General features: G+C 56.4%; 1 long non-coding RNA gene across 1 annotated transcript, besides 2 other annotated features; it reads left to right on the forward strand.

Annotated features, from left to right (window-relative positions):
- The first annotated feature begins 6,111 nt into the window (after positions 1-6,111).
- On the forward strand, positions 6,112-11,809 carry LOC401557 (uncharacterized). The gene is made up of 3 exons (NR_046107.1): positions 6,112-6,687; positions 8,379-8,500; positions 8,779-11,809. It is a non-coding gene; the product is annotated as an uncharacterized LOC401557 (long non-coding RNA).
- Positions 11,068-11,827: an enhancer, noted in NCBI's record as "H3K4me1 hESC enhancer chr9:138078411-138079170 (GRCh37/hg19 assembly coordinates)". NCBI's record gives its function as "activates a minimal SCP1, AML or CMV promoter by ChIP-STARR-seq in naive H9 embryonic stem cells {active_cell/tissue: H9 hESC(naive)}" and the evidence as "EXISTENCE:reporter gene assay evidence [ECO:0000049][PMID:30033119]".
- Positions 11,828-12,587: an enhancer, noted in NCBI's record as "H3K4me1 hESC enhancer chr9:138079171-138079930 (GRCh37/hg19 assembly coordinates)". NCBI's record gives its function as "activates a minimal SCP1, AML or CMV promoter by ChIP-STARR-seq in naive H9 embryonic stem cells {active_cell/tissue: H9 hESC(naive)}" and the evidence as "EXISTENCE:reporter gene assay evidence [ECO:0000049][PMID:30033119]".

Here is a 22,389-nt window from a genome sequence, read left to right on the forward strand (position 1 = left end):
GCCCAGCACGGCCAGTAGGCTCACCCTTGGTCCAGTCCACTGAAGCTGCTGGCATTGAAGGCCAGGGAACTTCTTACCTGTTTCACAGGTGAAAGGGGCTGGCAAGCCAGGTCCCCCCTTCTTGCCTTCCTTTGCCCCACTCTGACAAAACAGAGCATGGCCTTTTCTCCCCTGAGTCCCCATCAGGCCACAGTCACCCCCATCCCACCTCAGCCCCATTGCTGAGCTTCTGATACCAGGGGCTGGTTTCCAAAATCCAGGAGGAGGCTGGCTGTCCCCACAGCCCCCAGAGCCAGGGTCAGCTGGCTGCTGTCTTTCCCAGAGTTGAGCTGGGGCCGTGGCTTCCCCCCAGGGCTCTGAACAGCAAGCTCTCTTCCCAGATGATGATCCACCCCAGAGTGACACAGCCGGTGCGTCTGGGCTCTCCTGGGGACCAAGCCTCACCCGGCAACCCAGTGGAAACCATGGCTTCTTTTCCATCCTTCTTTCTAATGGTTTGTCATTCACGCCCTTGTTGATGCCAACATTGTAAGAGGCGGCCACGCACAGGCTTTCAGCTGTGGCATCACTGGCCATCAGCAATAACAGGCTTCCCAGCACCCAAAGCTCTGGGCCTGAGACAGGAATGACCGCATCTCTGTCCCAGCGGCAGGAAGCCCCAGGTGCTCTCAGCCTGGAGTCGTTGAGGATACTGGATGGCAGCTCCCACCTTTGCAGAAACCCTGTAATGTGGATATTGTGTGGTGTCGTCTCACCCGGACGTTCCCTAAGCCTTGGAGTTACCCCTTCCAGCGCCCTTTCCGGCTGTCAGAGGAGGCTCCACGGTGTGGGGCGGGGCCGCAGAGCCCAGGGCACCATGCACGGCCCAGGAGGACTCCAGAGGAACATCAGCGCTGCCTCGTACCACGAGCTCATCTTCCTCCAATCCTGTCTCTGCGACCGGCGGGGCCGCACTCATCCCAACAACCCACAGAGGTGCAGCAGGCCCCAGACAACTCCCGGGAGGGGGTCTTGCTGACAGCCAGCGGGGCAGGGCCCCTGGTCTGGACAGGCCCATCTGCAAGACTGTTGGGGGCACACGGCCCAGCCCCTCCTGCCCCACCCCAGCATCTGCGGCACGACAGCACCGGTGCTGGAATAATCCATCGCTCCTTGCCACATGCCAGGGTCTGCAGTGTCAGGGGTCACTCTGGGAGGCACGAGTGGATGTGGGCACCATAGTCACAGATGATGAAGGGCCTGTGAGGCCTGGAGATAGTACCCAGAAATCTTTCACATCCAAGGACCTTGGATTTCTTTAGTCCGAAACAAGAAAAAAATCATATCCACACACCAGTCCACCCTGGGTCCATTACATTCAGGTATGCCCGAAATGAGCTGCCAAGAACTCCCTGGGGAAGGGCACGAGGCAGGAGCCCACCTTCCTTGTCCAACGGACTGCAAACAGGGTCTTGTGGGGACCCCCGGTCACCAGGACACACCACAGTTCTGTGTCTCCAGAACACGTGTCCCTGTGCTCCTCCCTGGCTCCACAGCCTGCAGTGGCTCCCAGCTGCTCTTAGACACATTCCCCAACTTTCTACAGCCTGGAACTGACAGCACAGTCTGACTCCCTCTCCCCACATGTGTGTTCGTCCAGGGTCTCCAACATTTCTCATGCCACACACACACACACACAGGACGTAAGAGGTGTGTGGCATGCCAGGGTGAATGATCGAGGCAGTGAGAGGGCAGAGGTGTGGGCTCTGCCATTGAAATCCTGGTTTCTTTTCCCCACTGGGTGTGGACTTGGGGGAAAGCTGGAGGCCACTTACATTGGCCTTTCAGCTCCTGGAAAACACCAAGCACTTTCCTGACCCACACAAATATCTTGTAGATGCTGTATCCTCTACTGAGACTGTGGTTCTGCTCATCTTACATGCATACCTGTACGCATGGACACATGTCTGTCCACCTCACATGCAAACCTGTACACAATGGACACATGTCTGTCCACCTCACATGCAAACCTGTACATGTGGACACATGTCTGTCCACCTCACATGCAAACCTGTACATGTGGACACATGTCTGTCCACCTCACATGCAAACCTGTACATGTGGACACATGTCTGTCCACCTCACATGCAAACCTGTACACATGGACACATGTCTGTCCACCTCACATGCATACCTGCACACGTGGACACAAGTCTCTTCATCTGACATGCAAACTTGTACACATGGACATGTCTGCTCATCTCACACATATACCTGTATACATGGAGACATCTGTGTTCACCTCACATGCAAACCTGTACACGAGGTGGACACATGTCTGTCCACCTCACATTCAAACCTGTACATGTGGACACATGTCTGTCCACCTCACATGCAAACCTGTACATGTGGACACATGTCTGTCCACCTCACATGCAAACCTGTACATGTGGACACATGTCTGTTCATCTCACATGCATACCTGTACACATGGACACATGTCTGTCCACCTCACATGCATACCTGTACATGTGGACACATGTCTGTTCATCTCACATGCATACCTGTACACCTGGACATGTGTGTGTGTGTAGCATATACACACCCACACCCATACACACCCCTTTGGCTGGATAGTGCTTCAGATTTCAGTGCAAAGATTTTAGCCCAAACACTGCTCTCTGAAGCAGATTTCTCTAACCCTTGGGCTCTCTCAAGGCACCCTGCGTTCTCTCCTTCACAGCACCTCCCGCAATTGCAGCTTAACAGGGGATCCAGGAGAGGACTTCCACTCCAGCCATAAGGAAGGAGCCTGTGCCACACTGGCTCTCTTGCTGTAAACATCCGTAAGACTGGATGAAATGCTCCGTGCAATGGGTTTCAGATTAAACAACACACAGGACTGAAAGCTCTGAGAGTTGAGACATAGACCATAAGTCCCACCACTGGCTATTGACCGAGGCACCTGCTGGACCCTGGGGGTCCCGCCTGCAACCTGGCTCGTAAGGTTCTCTTTTCTTAGCTATGTCCCAGCTCAAGCAGAGGAGAATGACTTTGCTGAGCTGGGGAGGCGGGACTGGAGCTCAGGCTGGTGAGGAAGCTGGAGTTTGGGGCCAGAGGCCGGAGCCCAGGAACAACGGGGCTGCGCAGAGGAGCTTTGGAAATCTGCACAGGGGCCCCAGACACGTGGTTGCACATGAGGAAGCTGCTCCATGTGGCCTGCAGGAACAGCTGCTGGGGAGATTCCAAATGCTGGGAACCAGGAGCTCTCACCAGCAAGAACGGAGTTGACACGCCAGCAGGTGACTCTGGAGTAAGGGCCGCCTGCCCCAGGCACATTGAGAGAATTCATGGCCTGCACTGTAAGAAAGCTGTTCCAGGAAGCTCTTCGGGATGAAGGAATGGACGCCAGATGGAAATTCCCATCTGCAGGAAGGAGTGAGGAGTCCTGCATGGGAAAATGTGTAGAAAACCATGAAAGGGGTGTTTTTTCTCCTCTCAGTTTCTTGAAAAGACCACGTCTGCCTCCTGAGATGACGTGCTGAGAAAGAGACAAGCTCACTTCTAGGGTGCACCTGCCAAAAAGGCAGGGCCACATCTTCACCACCAGGAAACAGAAGACTAGACAAACTGGAAACAACCCGCAAAACAACTGACCCACACCTCCCACAAAGGCCACGACCAGGCCGCACAGGGGTCAGGCCACATGGGGTCCTGGCCACACAGAGGTCAGGAGGCACAGTGGCCGGGCCACACGGGGGCTGGGCCACATGGGGGCTGGGCCACACAGGGTCGGGCCACACAGGGGCCAGGCCACACGGGGGCCAGCTGAGGAATGCTCCAGAATAAAGGAAGCGAAAGAGATACAAGGATTCAGTGCAATGGGTGATGCCGGCCTGCTTCCTGGACTGGGGAACGAGAGCTCTGCAGGAACCATGGGCTCTCCTGAACAAATATGAATCCAGACAGACCGAAGCTTGGTGAAAAGCGACTCCCTCCTGATTCTGACAATCACGCTGTGCTTACGTGAGAGACTGCCCTCGCTCTCGATAGCACCCCGTGCTTACATCACAGCCCTGTGGACAACTATGAGCAGGACCTGGGGCCCACGGGAGGATCACACAGCAGGCTGGGTGGAGGGACAGTTCTGTCCAGCCCTTTGGGACTCTCTGTAATCCCAGCCCACAAACCTGCCAGGCACAGCTGCCTCGGACTTGGGTGTTGAGACCCAGCTCCTCCATATGGATCCTGGCCCCTGCACTGCCCCCTGTGTCTCTGGACAAGTTCTCACCCCTCCAAGCCTCTGTTTTCTCATCTACAAAAAAGACATGTCACCACATGGTTGTGGAATTAAAGGAGAAGGTGGCACCCAGCGCTGGGCAAGTCCCTCACTGGTGGCATGGCCTGAGCAGGGCCAGGGCTCGTACATTCATAGTTTTCTCAGAGGGCAAGGATAGCTTTCCCCAGCGGGCAGTCCCTCCGGATGTCCAGCCACCTGCCCCATCCCAGCACTGGGCCTCAGCTCTCAAGAAGCCACAGCAGAGGATGCTGCTGGCAGTGCTGAAGTTAGAGGTCTCGGGGCCATAGTCAAACGTTCTCACCTGTCCTTCCTACTGGTGTTCCTATTCCTCGGAGGGAAGTGTCCATGTCCTTGGCAAGCCCGGCCTTGGGCCATCTGGCTCTCAGTGACAACAGGAGGAGTGAGGTGAGAAGCCGCCACTGGACACGCTGAACTGCATTCTGGCCTTTGTCACAGCCTGAGGCCTCTGGAGGCCGATGTCCCTGGGATTACACGGTGCTAATTATTCTGGAGCTGACTGGAGCCCAGAAAGCTGAAGGCAGGACCCTGAGTCTCACATATGGGTGGAAGGCTTGGCTATCCTTACATTCCGCTGGGAGGGAAGATTCCAGAATGAGGCTGTGGTTGTGTTGCCTGGGTCAAGTCCATTTGAAAGTCCCCCAGAAGGAAGTGGGCTTCTCTTCCAAAGAGAAGCCCTCCTGCTGGTGAGGAAGCAGCCAAGTTCCAAGAGCCCTGCTTAGGGCTAAGCCTGTCCCAACACAACGGCAATGAGCAGACCCCCCCAGGCAGGAGGTTGGGAGGGGGTGGCCCATTTCCACTCCTTTGTCTCCAAGGCCTAAGAGTGACCATCCTGTGACCCCACAGACCTTGTGTCGACCTCCACCCCCAGGATCCCCATAGCTTTCCACGCCTTGGCATACCCGGTCAGCAGCACACAGGCTGAGAAGGGTGTGGACCATCTTCAAGGTCAGCTGTTTCAGCCCTTCCCTCAGGGAGCAGAAGGCCACCCCCCGGCTGGCACACCCACTCTGCCCTTCCCACTGTGGGGCTGGACAGCTGGTTGGCTCTCTGAATGTCAACCCTGGAGCAGGGCTAATGACAGCCACCTGCAGCTTCTTCTCCAGAATAAAGAATGGGACTCAGCAAGTGCTTGGCCCATAAGTGTGTGATAAATAACAGCTATCACTATTATCTAGTTATAAAAGCAAATGCCAAGAAAATTAGCAGGTGCCTGGTGCCACAATGCCGCTGATATGAGGGCCATTCCAGGATGCAGCTGAATCATCAGAGTCCAGTTGACCCAAAGGCCGAGCCACTGGGCAGGAAGGGTCCCCGTGGGCTGGAGGGACAGGGTGGGTCTCAGTGGGGTTTGATGACGTCCTCAAGGAAGCAATGGAGTGACAGATGAGGGACTTGGGGGCTAAGAGAACAGAGAGGCCTGGAGACTGTGGTACTTTGAACATGGTGGGGGTGCTGGTGCACCAGAAGGTGGGGGCAAATGAGGGCCCAACCCTGTGGGAAGCCGAGGGCTGGCTGAGTTCATCCTGCTGCAGGCTGCGTGCCCCAGCGTTGGGTTAACCCTGCCATGCCCCACCCTCCCCGGTGTCCAAGAGCTCTGTGCATGGCCGCTCAGCAGCCCAGCCCTGCCTGTCCTCCCACAGCCCGACCAAATTCAGGTCTGAGTGGGTTCTGGGGGCTGTGTAGAAGGAATGCAAGAGTCACACTTGGGGTTCCTGGCTGCATCCCAGACCTCACTGGCGCACGAACACCATCCACAGGTGCACACACGTGACGCTCCTCCACTGTGTTGGGCAGAGCAGGCACAGGCATCCGTACGATTCAACCACCAAGCAAGCCAGAAACGAGTGCTCTCAAAACACTGGCACTGTTGCAGCAGGGTTGGTTGGAGGCTGAACATTGATGGCAACAGTTGGTGTGATGGTTAATACTGAGTGTCAACTGGAGTGGATTGAAGGATGCAAAGTACTATTCCTAGGTCTGTCTGTGAGGGTGTTGTCAAAGGAGATTCACATTTGAGTCGGTGGACTGGGAGAGGCAGACCCACCCTCAATCTGGGCGGGCACCATCTAATCAGCTGCCAGCGTGGCTAGAATAAATCAGGCAGAGGAAGGTGGAAGGACTGGACTTGCTGAGTCTTCCGGCCTTCAACTTTCTCCCGTGCTGGATGCGTCCTGCCCTCGAACATCGGACTCCAAGTCCTTCAGCTTTTCAGCTCTTGCATTTACACCAGTGGTTTTTCAAGGGCTCTCGGGCCTTTGGCCGCAGACTGAAGGCTGCACTGCCGGCTTCCCTGCTTTTGAGGTTTTGGGACTTGGACTGATCCACCACTGGCTTCCTGGCTCCTCAGCTTGCAGATGGCCTATTGTGGGACTTCACCTTGTGACTGTGTGAGTCAATTCTCCTTAATAAACTCCCTTTTATATGTACATCTATCCTATTAGTTCTGTCTCTCCGGAGAACCCTGACTAATACAGTCTGTCACCCCCTAATTCCATTAGACCCTATACCAAGCCTGCAGGGGACAGAGACGAGCAAGCCCACGTCCTCACACCTGAGACGTCACTGTCACACTGCATTGGCAGGACCTGCACTCAGAGAGCTCAGGCTGAAAGTCGGGGCAGAGACAGTTGGGTTGCCCAGGCCACAGCACTGATGGGCTTCAGGGCTCAGCTCAGGTTGTGAAGCAATGGGGCCTACGTTGGCAGCTCCTGCCATGCAGGAGGTATACGAGCTAGGCCCTAATGGGTTAATGGATCTATTATGAGGAATAGCTTCTTGGAGGGGGGAGCCCCAGCAAATCCAAAGTGGATGCTATTACTCAAGGCTGCAGCCCAGAGTTTTCCTTACATCTTAATTCATTAGTTGGTGCAAAAAAGCAGCAGAATCTCTCAGGGGCAGCGAGGACCTTGAGGTGGTCTCTGTGTTTTCAGAAACTTGCCACTCCCTCTTCACACTCAGCCTGGAGTTAGCCACGCTCCTGTCCAAGAGAGTGGAGGGACAGGTGGGCCGAGGGCCAGCAGAGTGGGCGAGGCCTTGGCCTTCAGAAACTCAACCCCACCCGGACACAGCTGGTGGTAGGCCTTCTCAGCCCCTCGTCTGAGTGCCCTCTCTCCGTGGCCCTTAACTTGTCACCTGGAACATAGGAAATGTGGGCCCCAGTTTTCAGGAATTGTCAGAGACGGTGACAGTAGTGGTACCTGTAGCTGCTGGCCCTGCAGCTTGCAAAGGGCCATGGGTCCAGCAGAAGGTGTGGGCTTCCGATCGCCCATCTTCCGCCAGCCCCTCCCACCCTGGGCTGCGTGGCCTGTTTGCAAACCACAGACATTGAGTTATTCTTTCTAAGAGCCACATAGATGTTCTTGGGTCCGATTCTTAAACATATTCGCAATCATACAAAGAGTGACCCAGTGACCCAGCAGTTCCTTTTTTTGAGAAATTATCTTGGAGCTAAATCAGCCAAGTGAGCAAAGACTAAGCAGCAAGGGTATTTAATGCTGCGTTGTGTAGCAGAGCAAAACGGAAAACTCACAAGCCCTTCAACATGGATGCATTGCTCTGGTCATGTGTCTGTGCAGGGAGTCCGTGACAGGAACCAACAGAAGTGGGGGTCATAGAGATGCTGTTTGGTGCAAGGTCTGAGCCAAACCTTGTGCAAAACAGAGCTGTGTCTCGCCGCAGCCCGGGAGCAATACTCTGATGGAGGAGGTGTTATAGCTCCTGTTCCCCAAAGCAAAACTAGAGCCTGGAGGGTTCCCTGTCTCACCCTGGGTCACACCTGGCCTAATTTGAAAACTAGGTTCTTAACGGAGACTCAGTGTGGCCAATAAAGTGACCACATGGCACACATTTATGGCTGTGGATGGATGCTCACAGAACCCTAGGTGGAAAAGAGCTGGCTGCTACAGTGCAAGCACTCTAGTGGCAGACAGGCACATCTTCCTGCACAGACACTCGGAGGTAGGCTAAGCAGGCACCCCATGTCCTTCTGCACACTTTCTGCATTTTCTGATCAGTTTGTTTGCAATAACTATGTATTAGTTTTATTATCAGGGGAAAATAATAAAGCTATTTTTAAAAGCTGGCAATGGATACCTCGGAGATGGGGAGCATATCTGGCTGCAGCCAGCTGCAGATGAATCATCTGAGGACACTGAATTCAGCGGCGAGGCGCTAGGGACTCAAATGAACTGGAAAGGCCAGGTGACTAAGACTCGTCAGCCCCTTACCCCGGGCAGGGACCCGAGGGGTCCTTGGAGGAGGGGCCCAGGGCAGAGGGGCTGTGAGCAGAAGGGAGGAGGGTGCCAGCCCCTGATAGCCATGGGACAGCTTTGTCACTGACGTATGGGACATCCTTCTGCTCTCCCTGGCCCCCCGCCGACAACAAAGAGAAAACAGCAGCCCCGACTTAAACTCACACGTGTGCCCCCCTCTCAAGTTTGTGGGCGGGGGGGTGTACAAAAACACCATGTCCTTTTTAGGAATAGCAGCACATGGAGGGAGCGCCATCCAGCGTGGAGGGAAGATGCTGCCCAGCTGTGCCACTGCCCAGCAGCCTCCGGGCAAGGTCCTGCTTGAGCTGACTCTCCAGCAGCCGAGAAGGTCTGTGCCAGCCATGCACACACCCCTGAGCGTGTCCCCTGCCAGGACTAAGCACGGGCAGCCTCTGGACATCTGCAAATTAAAAAGAAGACACCCCTGCTCTTTCCAGCTGTATGAACCAGTCCCGGACCAGACGCCTGTGTCTGCTAAGGGTTTTCTCACTTATTTGCTAAACCCCTGTCCCTGCTCTAAGAAGAGCACCTAACCTGCCCACCTCCCCGTATACGGTCTCCCCCGGCAATGAAATGAGAAGCACTTTTGGCCTCATGTTTACTTGATGGATGGACAAAACACAGAACATGACGCAGTCACCACCGCCGATGGCCACAGAGTGACAGGTGATTGCGGGAAATTAAACAGCCCTCCCTAAGTCATCCATCATGAGAACCTCATTCCTTCCCTCGGCCAAGGGTCGGCAGTGCTCTCGCGGAGCAATTCATCACCGGCGGGCCATGTCATCGCAGGCCGTCGCCTCTCCGGGAAGCCGGGATCGACCAGGCCCGGCTCGCCCGCCCGGAAATGCCTTTTAAGCGCCATCCTAAGTGGGAATTTAATTGAAGTGTAATAAGGCATCTAATGTGAGATTAAGAGGCAAGGCCACCTGGAATGAGCCGTCACTTAAATAATTACTTTGCTTTCTCGGTCACAGCTCCCTCACCAGTGACCGTGTGGTCATTTAGCATCAGTATCGGAGGTAGAGGCGGTCCTGGGGGCTCGCCAGGTCCTGTTTCCCAGCCCGCCTTCTGGGCAGTGGGAGAGGTGGAAGACCAGCCTGGTGGGGAAGTGGGGTCACGTGGCCGGTCCTGGCCAATGAGATGCGCAGTCCCTTTTCAGAACTGGGCCCGGGTCTCTCTGCGCCTTGCTCTTCCCTGCCCTCCCCAGGACGAACGCAGGCCTGGCACTGGGCTGACGGAGTGGCCGCTGCCCGGGTCACGCCATAGAGGCCAGCACTTGCAGCGGCTTGGCCTGGCCCCAGAGCAGTTTCTATGTGCGTGAAAGGACCGAAGATTCAGGTCACCATAGCGTAACGCAGACCAGATGGACACCCCACATAGGGCCCCTGCAGCCTGCGAGCTAGGGGTGCTGCCTGCAAAGAGGAAGGACGTGGGGTTTGCTTCACCTGCCTCCAGTTTGGATGAGACCTCGGGACCCACTTCCAGTGTTTCCATTTTAGAGGGAAGGGCAAGAAGCTATATTTCAAGAAGGGGGGCCATGCCCCGCCACCTGGCAGCGGAGCCTGAGCTGAACCTGCTTGGCCCTCCCAACCTTCTCAGAGCTCCTGCCTACCAGGACCTGCTGTAGGAGCTTTTGGGGTCTTGGTGACCCAGTCAGAGCCACTCGGTCACAGGATCAGCTGCTGCCTGGTGAGTGCCCTCTTACCGGCTTCCCCCTAAGGCCACTGGTAAGGCTGGGACCTTTATGGGTAGAGAGGCCCGGCTGGTCACGACCACTGTCCTGTGAACATCATTCTGAAGTCGACGGCACTGACTTGTAAGTGGAGGGGGCAGATCCAGTAGAAAACACACCGCGGGTTTTGTAGGTGGTGGGAAGTCTTTCAACAGGCATTTTTGGACAGCCTGCTGTGCGCACGGCACCCAGTGTTCTGTGAATCTTGCCATTGATCTCAAGGCCAGCCAGATGCCCATGAAATATCGGGCACGTTGGGCAGCAGGCTTTTATTTTGGTCTGAGTTCAGCCTGCTGTTATTACTTCCTCATCTTTTCCTTTCAGGTTTCCAAAAGCCTGGGCCCGTGGTGAATCCTGGCTGGGAGGAACTTTGAGGGCACCCCTGGGCTCCTCCCCTGTGCCCTGCCCCCCGCCGACGCCATCCCTGATAGTGCCCAGATTCTCCTTAACTTATTTCCAGGAGCGGCAGCGCTGGCTTTCTCAGTGCCTCTGGGGACAGGCCGTTCACCCCGCCCGCCACTACTCGGGCCACTTTTGACCCCCGGGAGTATTCGGCAACAAGTCTGGCAAGAGCATCAGTGTGGGTGGCCAGTGACCACGTGCAGCACTTGGCCTGCAGCAAGAGCCAGCTGCATGGGCTGGGCTGGAGTCAGGGGCTTGTCTGGACCTCATCAGGATGCAGAGGAGGGATCTGGCCTGGAGGACCCTGCCCTGCACGTCCGCCTCAGAGCCAGGGTGACCCTTTGCCTTTGTCCTTGAAGAAATGCATTTCAGGGACTCAATGTCCCTGATTGTCCCGATCCAGAGTCCAGAGCAGGAGAGGCTGTCACTCCCTCCCCTGTCCCTGGAACATTAGAACAGCCCATGGGAGGGGCAACACTGTCCTTGGGAGACCTCAGTCCTCATCCATCCCACCCTGAATGTCAAAGCCACGTGACGGAGTTCAACCAGCTTCCTCCAAGCTGGCCATGCCTTTCCACACCCGTCTTTGGCGGGTTCCCTTCTGAAATTCCTCCTCTTCCTCCCACATGCGCCTTCCCACGACCTCCATGCTTCTAAGGAGCAATCGTGCCTCCTGGATGCCTCTCTGTCAGCTTTCAATGTGGGGAATAAAGACCTACGGAAGTGTTGGCAAGCCAGTTAAAAATAGCCCCATCTATTAAAAGGTGAAAACGTGGTGAGAAACACAGGCAGGGTGGGGGTGAATGTGCTGCCTGCCTCAGCCCTGCCCTCTTTCTGGAAGAGCCAGCCCTCCCCAGACTCGGCAGCCCAATCAGATGCCCTGACCCCACCAGCCACCTCCAACCCACGCGAGCCCTTTGGGTGGCGGCCCTGGCTGCCCAGTGAGTATCTATCTCAAGCCTGTGTGGATGTCAGTTTGCTTTTTAATCTTGTTCCCTTGATACATATCAGCTTTTAAATCAAGGAATGTGTCTTCCCAAATGAAGAGGCTTTTATTAGGCACCCTGTATCGCTTTCAAAAGAAAAAGTCACATTAATTCCAACTATGTGCCGTGTGTTTGGATTGATTCTGATATCACAGCGTCAGCAGTCCGTTTTCTTCGCAGAGAAATTCCGTCATCTCTGACACCAACATCAACAGCAGCCAAAGGGTCTCTGGTGTGGGCAGGGGACCGTCCCACACAGACCTCAGTTGCAGAAGCCAGAAGCAGCGATGAACAGAAACCTCGGGAGAGCAGAGAGCTCCGAGGAGCGGCGGGGAGGTAGGGCTGTGGGTTAGGGCGCCACTGCTCGCAGCCGGGTGAGGCAGGGTCTGGGTGGTGCTGCAGCCCCCGCACTGTCTCCCACAGTGGGTCACGTTCCTCTCCTCTTCCATCCACCACAGTTCACACAACTGCCAGAGCGGGGTTCAAGGCCCCAGTCCCCTGCCTGAGACCCTCCAAGACTCTGCAGCACCCACAGGCCATGCCTGTGCTGCCCACATGTTCTGTGATGCTCCCCAAGGCCCCTCTGCAGCCCCCGACACCCCACCCCCACCCATCTGCATACCTATTCCCCAAAGTGAGTTGTTCCCCTGGGCCTTTGTAAGTGCCCTTCCACCCTCCTGAAAATCCCTCCTCCAAGACCATCCATGGTTCCCTTCCTCTCTGGAACCTTCTTTGATCCTCCCAGGCTTAACTCACTGAGTTCCCCCTTCCCCTGAGCTCCACACAGTACTCAGCAACCCCACTTCTACAGCAGAAGCCACTTCCTACGTGGGCTCCTCTCTGGAACCTTCCTTGATCCCCCCAGGCCTAACTTATTGAGTTTCCCCTTCCCCCGATCTCCACATAGCACTCAGCAACCCCACTCCTTGAGCAGAAGCAACTCCCTTCTTGGGCACTGGCGTTTTTGCCCATCTTTCCTTTTGAAATGCAGTTTCTTAGGGCACCAGGAAAGACCATCAGTGCTCGTTGACCCAAAGTTCAACGTGCTCACAGACTCTGAGCATGATTTTGCACCATCTGTCAGTAGGTCCTTGATTTTCTGTTTTTTTTTTTTTTTTTTTTTTTCAGAATCTTGGGCTAAAGATCTATGAGTGCTGGGACCACTCTCCTTGTCAGGTGGTAAAAAGCTCTTCAGCAAATCAAAGCTCTCCTCTCCCAAGCAAGCAGTGGGTCCTTTCCTCCCCTGGAGGCTTCTCAGGCAGGGCCACAGTTGGGAGAGCTGAGATGCTGTGGCAGAGAGGAAAGGAGGGTGCGACCCCGCCCTGCCCCTGTGCCTTGACCTCAGCTGTCTCCTCCGTGAGGCATGACCCATGACACACTTGCCGCATGCCCACTATGCCACCATCCTTCTGCACACGCCTGCCATGCCCCCACTGTGCCACACCTGCCATGTCACACTCACCCCACACCTGCTATGTCCCCACCATGCCACACCTAGGTCACACCCTTGCCACACCCCCAAACCCCATCGTGGCATGCCTACTGAGTCACGCCCTTGCCACACCTGCCACCCCCCACTGTGCCGCACCTACCATGTCACACCTATGCCACACACACCAAGCCCCCACCATGCCATGCCTTTACCATGCCCCTACTGTGCCCTGCCACACCCCATGCCACATTCCCCATCCCCTGGTTGCACTCTGTCACTCCCCCACTACATCATATCATATACCCTCGCCACTTCAAGATCTGCCCACTGCTATGCCAAGCTCTGTGACACCAGGCCCCTGTCACACCACACCAAACCCCCATTATGCCACACCTCACCTCCACCATGCCACACCCCCACTATGCCACACACATCGCCACCACACCACACCCCCACTATGCCACACCACATCTACACCACGCCACACCCCGTCACGCCACACCACACCCCACACCCCCGTGTCACACACCCCACCACACTGCACCACACCCCCCACCAAGCCACATCACACCCCATGCCACACCCCCATTATGTCACACCACACCCCCACCATGCCACACCTCACCCCCATGCCACACCCCCCACCATGCCACACCTCACCCCCATGCCACACCCTCCACCATGCCACACCTCACCCCCATGCCACACCCCCCACCATGCCACACCCCATGCCACACCCCCCACCATGCCACACCACACCCCATGCCACACCCCCCACCACGCCACACCACACCCCCACCACGCCACACCACACCCCATGCCACAGCCCCCATCATGTCACGCCACACCCTCCACCATGCCACACCTCACCCCCATGCCACACCTCACCCCCATGCCACACCCTCCACCATGCCACACCTCACCCCCATGCCACACCCTCCACCATGCCACACCTCACCCCCATGCCACACCCTCCACCATGCCACATCACACCCCCATGCCACACCCCCCATCATGCCACACCCCACTACTCCCTCATGGCGGAGGCCCATCCTTATCTCTCCCTCAGGCAGGAGCCCCTCACTGGTCTCCATCTCTTGACCGGCCTTACTTACATCTTTCAGTAATTCCCCTCCACTGTGGCTGTGTTAGCCCGGCTAAGGTACACCCTGGACCTCACTTCCTACTGTAAAGGCTTCTGTGGATCCCCTGGAGCTGGGATGAAGTCTGTGTCCCGGGCTGCCATCCACGGACTCTATAGATAGTCCCAGAAGCATGAGCAGAGCCGTCCTCCCTCCTCTGACGTTCCCGGCTGGTCTGTGCCTGGGCCCTTGACTCCTCCGTTCCCCAGTCCTTATTCTTCCTCCACCCACTCACGAAGAGAGCCTCAGCCTCCATCTTTTCAAGGAGGCATTCTGACCAAAAGAGAGGCTCAGCCTCCATCTTTTCAAGGAGGCATACTCCGACCAAAGGAGATGAAGTCGTCCCTGGGTTTGGGGGGCGGTCGTTGTGAATCTTCACAGAGCATATATTTCTCAGCCATTGCAGGGGCCAAGCCCGGTACTGTACTGTATCTGCACTGTACCAACCGTGTGAGGCAGGGACAAGGGCCTGGCCCACTGTGGGAGGTCAATCTGAGTTTGCTGAGCAGTCATAACTCCTAATGCAAGCTAGGTCTCCTCTGCGTGGGAGTGCTTGCACTAAGGGAAGTCACAGAAGCCTTGGAACACACTCAGCGCCCAGTACACCCGGTCACAGAGGCCTGCACGCAGCCCCATGTGCACAGACCCTCACTGCACCCTTCTGATTTGCCTTCCAGCCTCTGGTTGTGGCCACCAGCTCTCCTCCACTCAGCTCCTGCGGGCTACAGCCTCCTTGAGAGAGGGTTATGATAATGTGGCTGAGCCTGCAACGGCCCCTAGGATATGCACTTGAGCCCTACTTGGCTGCCAGCTGTTTAAAAATGGAAGGAAGAGATTAAAAATGAGCAAAAGCGAAACGGCTTTGAATAAAGTCATCGACAGCCCAAATGTGCAAACTAATTCAATTTCTGCATCTTTCCTGCTCTGAAGTGTGCACACTCAAGAGCCACAAGTTTCCTCTGTCAAGGCAGGAGGAGCTGAAATGCACAAAGCGGACCTGCCTGCCTTCCTCAATGGCCACTCGTAAATTTCCCAAACTTCATCCAAACACAGGCATCTCCGTTAGAGCTCCTCAAAGAAATGTCTGCGTCCACTTGGTAATCACCCACACAACTACTGAGGGCAGAGAGAGGCAAAGCTTAACTAACAAGTTCCTCACCATGAGAACTGCCTGGGGGCCAGCCACTCAGCACCCACAGCCTGCGGGAACCCTCTGGCTCAACCCACACGGTGCCTCTGCTGTGGGACAGATTGACCACCCACGAAACTCAGCTGCAGAAGAGAACAGCAACATCTGTCATCCCAGTGTCCTGTTGGTCAGGAATTAGGGAGCGGCTTAGCTGGGTGCTTCTGGCTTGGGGTCTCTCATGAGGTTGCAGTCAAACAGGCAGCAGAGGCCACCTCACCTGAAGGTCTGTGTGGCTTGGAGGATCTGTTTCCAAACTCACTCACCTGGCTGTTGGGAAAAGGCTCCATACCACCCGGACCTCGCCGACGAACCACTCACGATGTGGTAGGTGGTTCCCCCCGCAGAACGTGACAGAGAGAGACAGAGAGAGAGAGAGACAGAGAGAGAGAGGAAGAGAGAGAGAGGGAGAGAGAGAGAGAGAGAGAGAGAGAGGCACCCAAAATGGGACCCACAGTGCCTTTTATAACCTAATCAAGGGAGGGGCTAACGCAGCTTCTGCCAGCTTCTGCCTGCCTGAGGGTCGCTGGGGGCCATCCTGAGGCTGGCTTCCTCATGGGTGTGGTCTCTCCGTATTAAGATGAGGAACGCACTCTCATACCATGCAGGCCACCTGCCCGAGCTCATGCAGCCAGTGGGGCAGAGGAAGGAAGGGACCCCAGCGGGCTGATTCAGAGGTGCTTGGACTCAGGGGCTGTGGGGGGAGCCCCATCCCTGTGGCTGCTGTCCACTGGGCCCGTGCAACCTTGAGAAAGTTGCCCAGTGGCCTGGGTCTCAGCTGCACCATCTCTTCAAAGAGGACAGTCATCCCAGGGCCTGATGGTCCCAGTGCCCGAGGGTGACCTGGGGGCCAGTGTGAGGAGAAAGTGGAATCATTCCACACATCTGAGGGGGCCGTGGGGCCTGGCCAGGATGGGACCCAGCCTGGAAGCCAGCACCAGTCTGCACAAGCCAGTGTGGCAAGCAGGGAAACTGAGGCTCAAAGAGCTACTGAACCCAAAGCCAGACCACCGGTGGGGCCAGGGGTCAGACCACAGGGACCCTGGATCCCAAAAGCTTCACTGCAGGCCCCACACACAGAGGATGGAGGGACTGACCCTAAGAGCAACTGAAAGGGCCCACGGTAGGGACCTGTTCAGGGCCAGGCCTGGCTTTATCACCAGGACCTGCAGGGCCACCATCTGAGGCAGACGTTGTCATTGTCACCCACTTAGGTGAGAGGAAAGTAAAGGCCAGCGACTGTCCCAAAGTGGAACAGTTGGAGGTCAGCCTGGGTCCCACCCTGGCCCACCCTCAGCTGCTGTGCTCCCACTACCTCCCCCCTAGAGCTTAGCGGCCACCTCCCTGCTGCTCCGTCCGTGTGCGTCAGGAAGACCAGCTGCCGAGACAAACATCCCGTGCCTCAGAGGCTTAAAGCAAAGTGCATCTCACTTAAGCAGGCAACAGCTCCCTCCTCCAGACTGATCTGTCCCGGGGTCCTCGGAGCCCCTCCACTCAGCCCTGATGGGCAAGAGAGCAGGCAGCCGACCCACCGTGAGGGATTTGGGGGTTGCAGCACTTCTGCCCACACCCCGTTGGTCAAAAAATGGACACCCGACCCCTCCAGACTACAGGGGAGGCCTGGGGTGCAGCCAGGTGCCCAGGAAGGAAAGGAAACTAGAACTGAGGGGCTCCTAGTGCTCCCGTCCACACTGTGCCCTCTGGGTCCTTCCTGTTTCCACCAAGCCATGTCTCACTCGAGATCACAGGTCACAGTGGGCAGCAGAGCCAGAGTTTAAACCGGCCCCGCCCCTGGAGTGTCTCGGGGGACTTCTGGTTGGTGGCGCAGATGGCGGGCTGAATTATTGAATTTCTCCAACTGACAGGACCCTGGTTCCTTCATCAAACCGACACCTCTGATCTTGTTGGGGAAGTCAGGCTGCCGAAGCTGCCCGGCCCGCGGCGCCCTGCCTCCTCCTGAACTTGACACCCAGGCCTTGACATAGGAGCGCAAGGAGCCCACATCCCAGTGAAAACAGCACTGTGCCCTCCACAGGGAGCAGGGCTCCATCCAGGCTGCAGGGCCCCATCCTCCACGTCTTCCTCCCAGCACCAGCCCGTCCCTCGTTCGTGTGGTTCAGAAGAGCCTCGGCAAGGAGCCAGAGGGAGCTTTCAGCCCGCAGACAAGTCACTTCACAACTCAAAACCCAAAGGAGGCCCTCACTCACCCAGAGTCAGGCCAAACTCCTGGCTCTTGAGGCCCCCAGTGCTGCCCCCGGCTCCTTGACCTTCTTTCCCACCCCAGCTCTCCCCCTCCCTCCCTTCAGTGCTCCTGGCCTCCTCATTGCTCCTACCTCGGGACCTTTGCACTTGCCGTACCCGAGCCTGGCATGCTCTTCCCTGAGTTCTATGTGGCCCTCCCTTATATCCTCAAGTCTCTGCCCCAGTGCCCCTTGCCCACAGGGATGCACGGACCCCATGTTTAAAATGAGAATCCCCTGCCCCTCACTCCCACTTTGCAACGCACTGCACCTGAACACTTGTCAGCCACTTGTTTTTGTCACTGCCACCCCCCCTTTCCGAATGTGCATTCTGGAATGGGGGATGTTTGTCTGCCCCGGTGACCACTGTTTCCCCAGCCCCTTGCACAGGGGACATGCCTACTATTTGGTTGTCGAATGAAAATACAGAACATTCTTCTTTTCGTCACCATCTGTGCACCCCCATCCGGACTGACCACAGGAAGATGGCAGGTGTGTCCCCACCACAGTGACAGGGACTGGGCTCACCCGGCCCTCCCCACCAACTCCAACCCCAGTGGCTGAGCAGACCCCTGGGCTGCACCCACATCTGAGGAAAGGCGTTGCACCCGCGACTTTAGTCCTTGTCTCCTACCCGAGGTCCCTGGGAGGCTGCCCTGCGGTGGGATTTCTCCCTCATCGACAGCTCTGCATTCTGACAGCCTGTCCCCAAAGCAATGGGCAGAAGGCCCCATCTCTGAGACCTTTCTTTCCAAACAAGTGACTTCGCTGAAAGGCCAGGCTGGGCTGTCACATGGCTGTGGCCCTTGGGCAGCTCAGCACGTCACTGTGTTCAAATGACAATATTCTCAACCAAGAAGAGGGTGCAGGTGGGGTTAGAGAGGCCCACGGGACCTGACAGACAGCTGGAGGTTCCAGCCCCTGCCTCTCATCTCTAGGAGAGCCACCGAGGCCGGCAGGGAATGGGCTAGCCAAGTTCACACTGGCCCGGTGGCTGCGTCAGGATGGCCAGAGGCATCCCCAGGGCCAGAGCAGCCAAACCTGAGAGGCGGCCCCAGGCAGTAGGAGGACACAGACTTGGCCATCGGGTCCCCTGCCCAGCCACTGCCTGGCTGACCAAGCCTTCCTTGTTATCCCAAATGTAATGTGACAGCAATGACCACAACACAGTTGTGGCCACCACGGTGCAGGGGTGCCCAGACCCTAGGTCTGCACATACTCACATTGGTGCCCTGTCTCTCCTTTGGATTTGCTGTCACTCCTCTGGATCTTCTTGTCCCCAGGGTCCAGCCCCCTGGTTCAGCTTGGCCCTTCCCCTCCATTTCCAGAGGCTGCCAGGATCGCTGGAACTGGGTGGGGCACGAGGCCAGGACGCGGACTCCAAACCTCTTCTCAGCCAGGGAGAGGCTCAGTGGCCAGGCTGAGGGAGGCAAGCGAGGGCTGCTGGGGTCATTCCCTCAGCAGGCTTCTGCAAACACAAACCAGCCTGCGAGGAGATGCTGGGCCTGAGTGGCACTGAGTTTGAGAATCCTCATGGTCATAACCTGGAGGCATCGTCTCTCGTCTTGCTGCTCACAGATATGAAGAGAATGTTCTTCCTTGACGCCATAGACAGCACCTCCACTGTGCACCGAGCCCAATGCCTCACTTACAATGGGCCCTTGATACCCAACCTAGGACAAATAAGTGTCGGACCCTCCTGCTGCCTGGATGCTGGGATTGAGGCAAATACAGTCAAAAGGGGCAGCCATGTCTTCCTGGGATCTGGCCACCAGCGGTGGCAGCCACACCTGCCCAGGACCACTCACCTGCTGCATGGCTGGAGGACCCCAGCTTCCCAGTAACCAGTGCCACACAGTCTCTGCCAGGGTCTGGGCCCAGCTGGGAAGGCAGTGCTAGCACTGGCAAAGCCAGAGGTTGGGGTCCTGTGAGCTGCCAACGTGGCCATGTACCCCCCAGACCTGCAGGGGCCCTGCTAAGGACCAGTCCTGGGATGAATTTGAATAAGAGTCTATCTGGGCGCATGGAGCTGACCCCAGAGAGAGCAGGGGTCTGAGCAGGGCGGGAGGAGGGGCCCCTGTGCCTGCTGTGGCTCCTGCCCCCTCTCTCTCCCATCACCCATGTGCCCAGAGGCCCTTCCCTGCCCTGGTGGGGGCTACCTTCCTGTCCACCTGACACCCCTGCTCAGATGGGGGCATGTTGGCTCAGCCCACAGCTGGGTATGAGCAGTCAGTCACCCCAGAGCACCTTCATTTTGCTTCCAATGAGAGCTTTGATAGTCTCATTGTCACCGACAGCACCTGAGAGAGGAATCTGAAATCATACACCACCCAGGTCCCTCTGCCTTGAATGACTGGGCACGGAAGGAAATTCCAACCACAGAATCAGGCGCAGCCCAGGGTGACACGCGCTGGGGAGAGGGTGCCATGCTGGGGTCCTGGATGCTGATCGGGCACTGCCAGGGGAGACATTGGGAAAGTTCCTCCCCGCTGTGACCCACACTTCTTGTCTAAAGGGTGATGGCAATGGTGAGTGAGACAGCCTGGGACCACTGCAGACAGTGGGTGGGTGGGTGGGTGAGCTCGGGGCCTCCGGAGCATGCTCTGTGGGTCCCTTCCCACAGAAGAGGGCCCTGTGACCAAGGAACACAGGAAATTCTTCTCTCACACACTCAGCCAGTCGGTGAGGCCAAGCACGGCCGGAACACCTGTGGCTGCCCTCATCTGCAGGCATCTCATTGCATCCGCCAAGCAAGGTCAGCAGCAAACAGCCCCCAAGGCCCTGCAGCTTGAGAAATTCCAGTTCATTCCCAGATGTGCTCCATGTCCATCGTGGGTCTGCAGAGAATCTCAGTAGCTGAAGTGGCGGGAAACCAGGGTGACGAAGGCTCGCTCCTTGCACAAACGCCCTCACTCATCTCAGAAGTGGGGCAGAACAGGGAAAGTCTCCAACCGTTCTGGCTCTTAATGTGCCCTTCCCCTTCCCATTTCCCCTTCACATTCCCCTTCTCTCTTCCCCTTCCCATTTCCCTTCCCAGTTCCCCTTCCCATTTCCCCTTCCCTCTTCCCCTTCCCATTTCCCCTTCCCATTTCCCCTCCCATTTCCCTTCCCATTTCCCCTCCTCGTTTCCTCTCCCATTTCTCCTCCCATTTCCCCTTCCCTCTTCCCCTCCCATTTCCCCTTCCCTCTTCCCCTTCCCATTTCCCCTCCCATTTCCCTTCCCATTTCCCCTCCTCGTTTCCTCTCCCATTTCTCCTCCCATTTCCCCTTCCCTCTTCCCCTCCCATTTCCCCTTCCCTCTTCCCCTTCCCATTTCTCCTTCCCATTTCCCCTCCCTTTCCCCTTCCCATTTCCCCTTCCCATTTCCCCTCCCATTTCCCCTCCCATTTCCCCTTCCCTCTTCCCCTTCCCATTTCCCCTCCCATTCCCCTTCCCATTTCCCCTTCCCATTTCCCCTCCCATTTCCCTTCCCATTTCCCCTTCCCTCTTCCCCTTCCCATTTCCCCTTCCCATTTCTCCTTCCCGTTTCCCATCCCCATTTCCCCTCCCATTCCCCTCCCATTTCCCCTTCCCTCTTCTTCTTCCCACTTCCCCTCCCATTTCCCCTTCCCATATCCCTTTCCCATTTCCCCTTCCCATTTTTCTTTCCCATATCTTAATTGACAAAGCAAATCACAAAGCCGTGCCCACCCCCAGCAGCGAGGCGGTGCCCCCTCACCTGTGACCAAACAGAGGGAGTCCTTGGCAATGGGCACTTCCAACCACCTCTGCAGCTGTGAATGTCCCCCTGAGATGGTCCCACAAAACAGACTTTGGGAAATGCAGCATTTGCTTATTAATAACCCTAAAGTGGGAGAAATGTTTTAATTCAGGATTTCAACCCAGCGTTTCAGGGGAAGGCGATCGCCCAGTGTAAACATAAACAAGGCTGCCTTCCTGCATTTCCCCAGGCACAGGTATCTCCTCCATGTTCGCAGTTTGGACTCACGTGTCTATTCATATGGAAATCGTTTCCCCAGCCAATTGTGACATTTGGATACTGAGTCACTGTTTGAGCTCATCCCTGACATCCCACAAAAGATGGAAAATATTGTGGACACAGAGTCTTGCTTATATGTTTCCTGGAAGCAATTTTTAAATAAATGACTAACATGAAATAAAAACAAATGGAATGCAACTGCATTCTGTCTCGGAGGGAGCAGGTGGAGTTGCCCCTTCAAACTCACAGCTGAGGAGTTAGACTTGCGCATGGCAGGGGAGGCTGCGCTTGAAGACACTGTGAAATGGGGATATCCCAGGAAGGCAGCCTGGGCTGTCCCTTCCCCAGCCTGTCCATGTTTCTCAGAGCAGTCAAGGAAAGCCCCAGACTGCAAGGTTTCTCTGGTTTACCCGGCGATCTAGGGCTGCCAGCTTCCCTTTTCATGCCTCGGTTTCCCCATCTGCGGTGGAAACAATTGTGCTCATCTGCAGGGAGCATGTGACCAGTTTCTTCTTTTCTCCTCTGTGTTTGTCAAAGTCTTTTCTCCCCTCTGCAAGACCCCACCTCCCTGTGAAGATGACAGTGGTATGTGCCATCTGGTCTACTTTTTGGAGAGCTGGGTTGGGGTCTGATCCTGGGCAGTAGCAGAGGCGGCGGCCAGGGCCCTGTTGAGCCACGTCGCGTCCCTGAGCTGGGCTGTGTTCTCTGCACTAAGA

The sequence above is a fragment of the Homo sapiens genome, chromosome 9 (genome assembly GCF_000001405.40).
Source record: "Homo sapiens chromosome 9, GRCh38.p14 Primary Assembly".
Taxonomy (NCBI): Eukaryota; Metazoa; Chordata; class Mammalia; order Primates; family Hominidae; genus Homo; species Homo sapiens.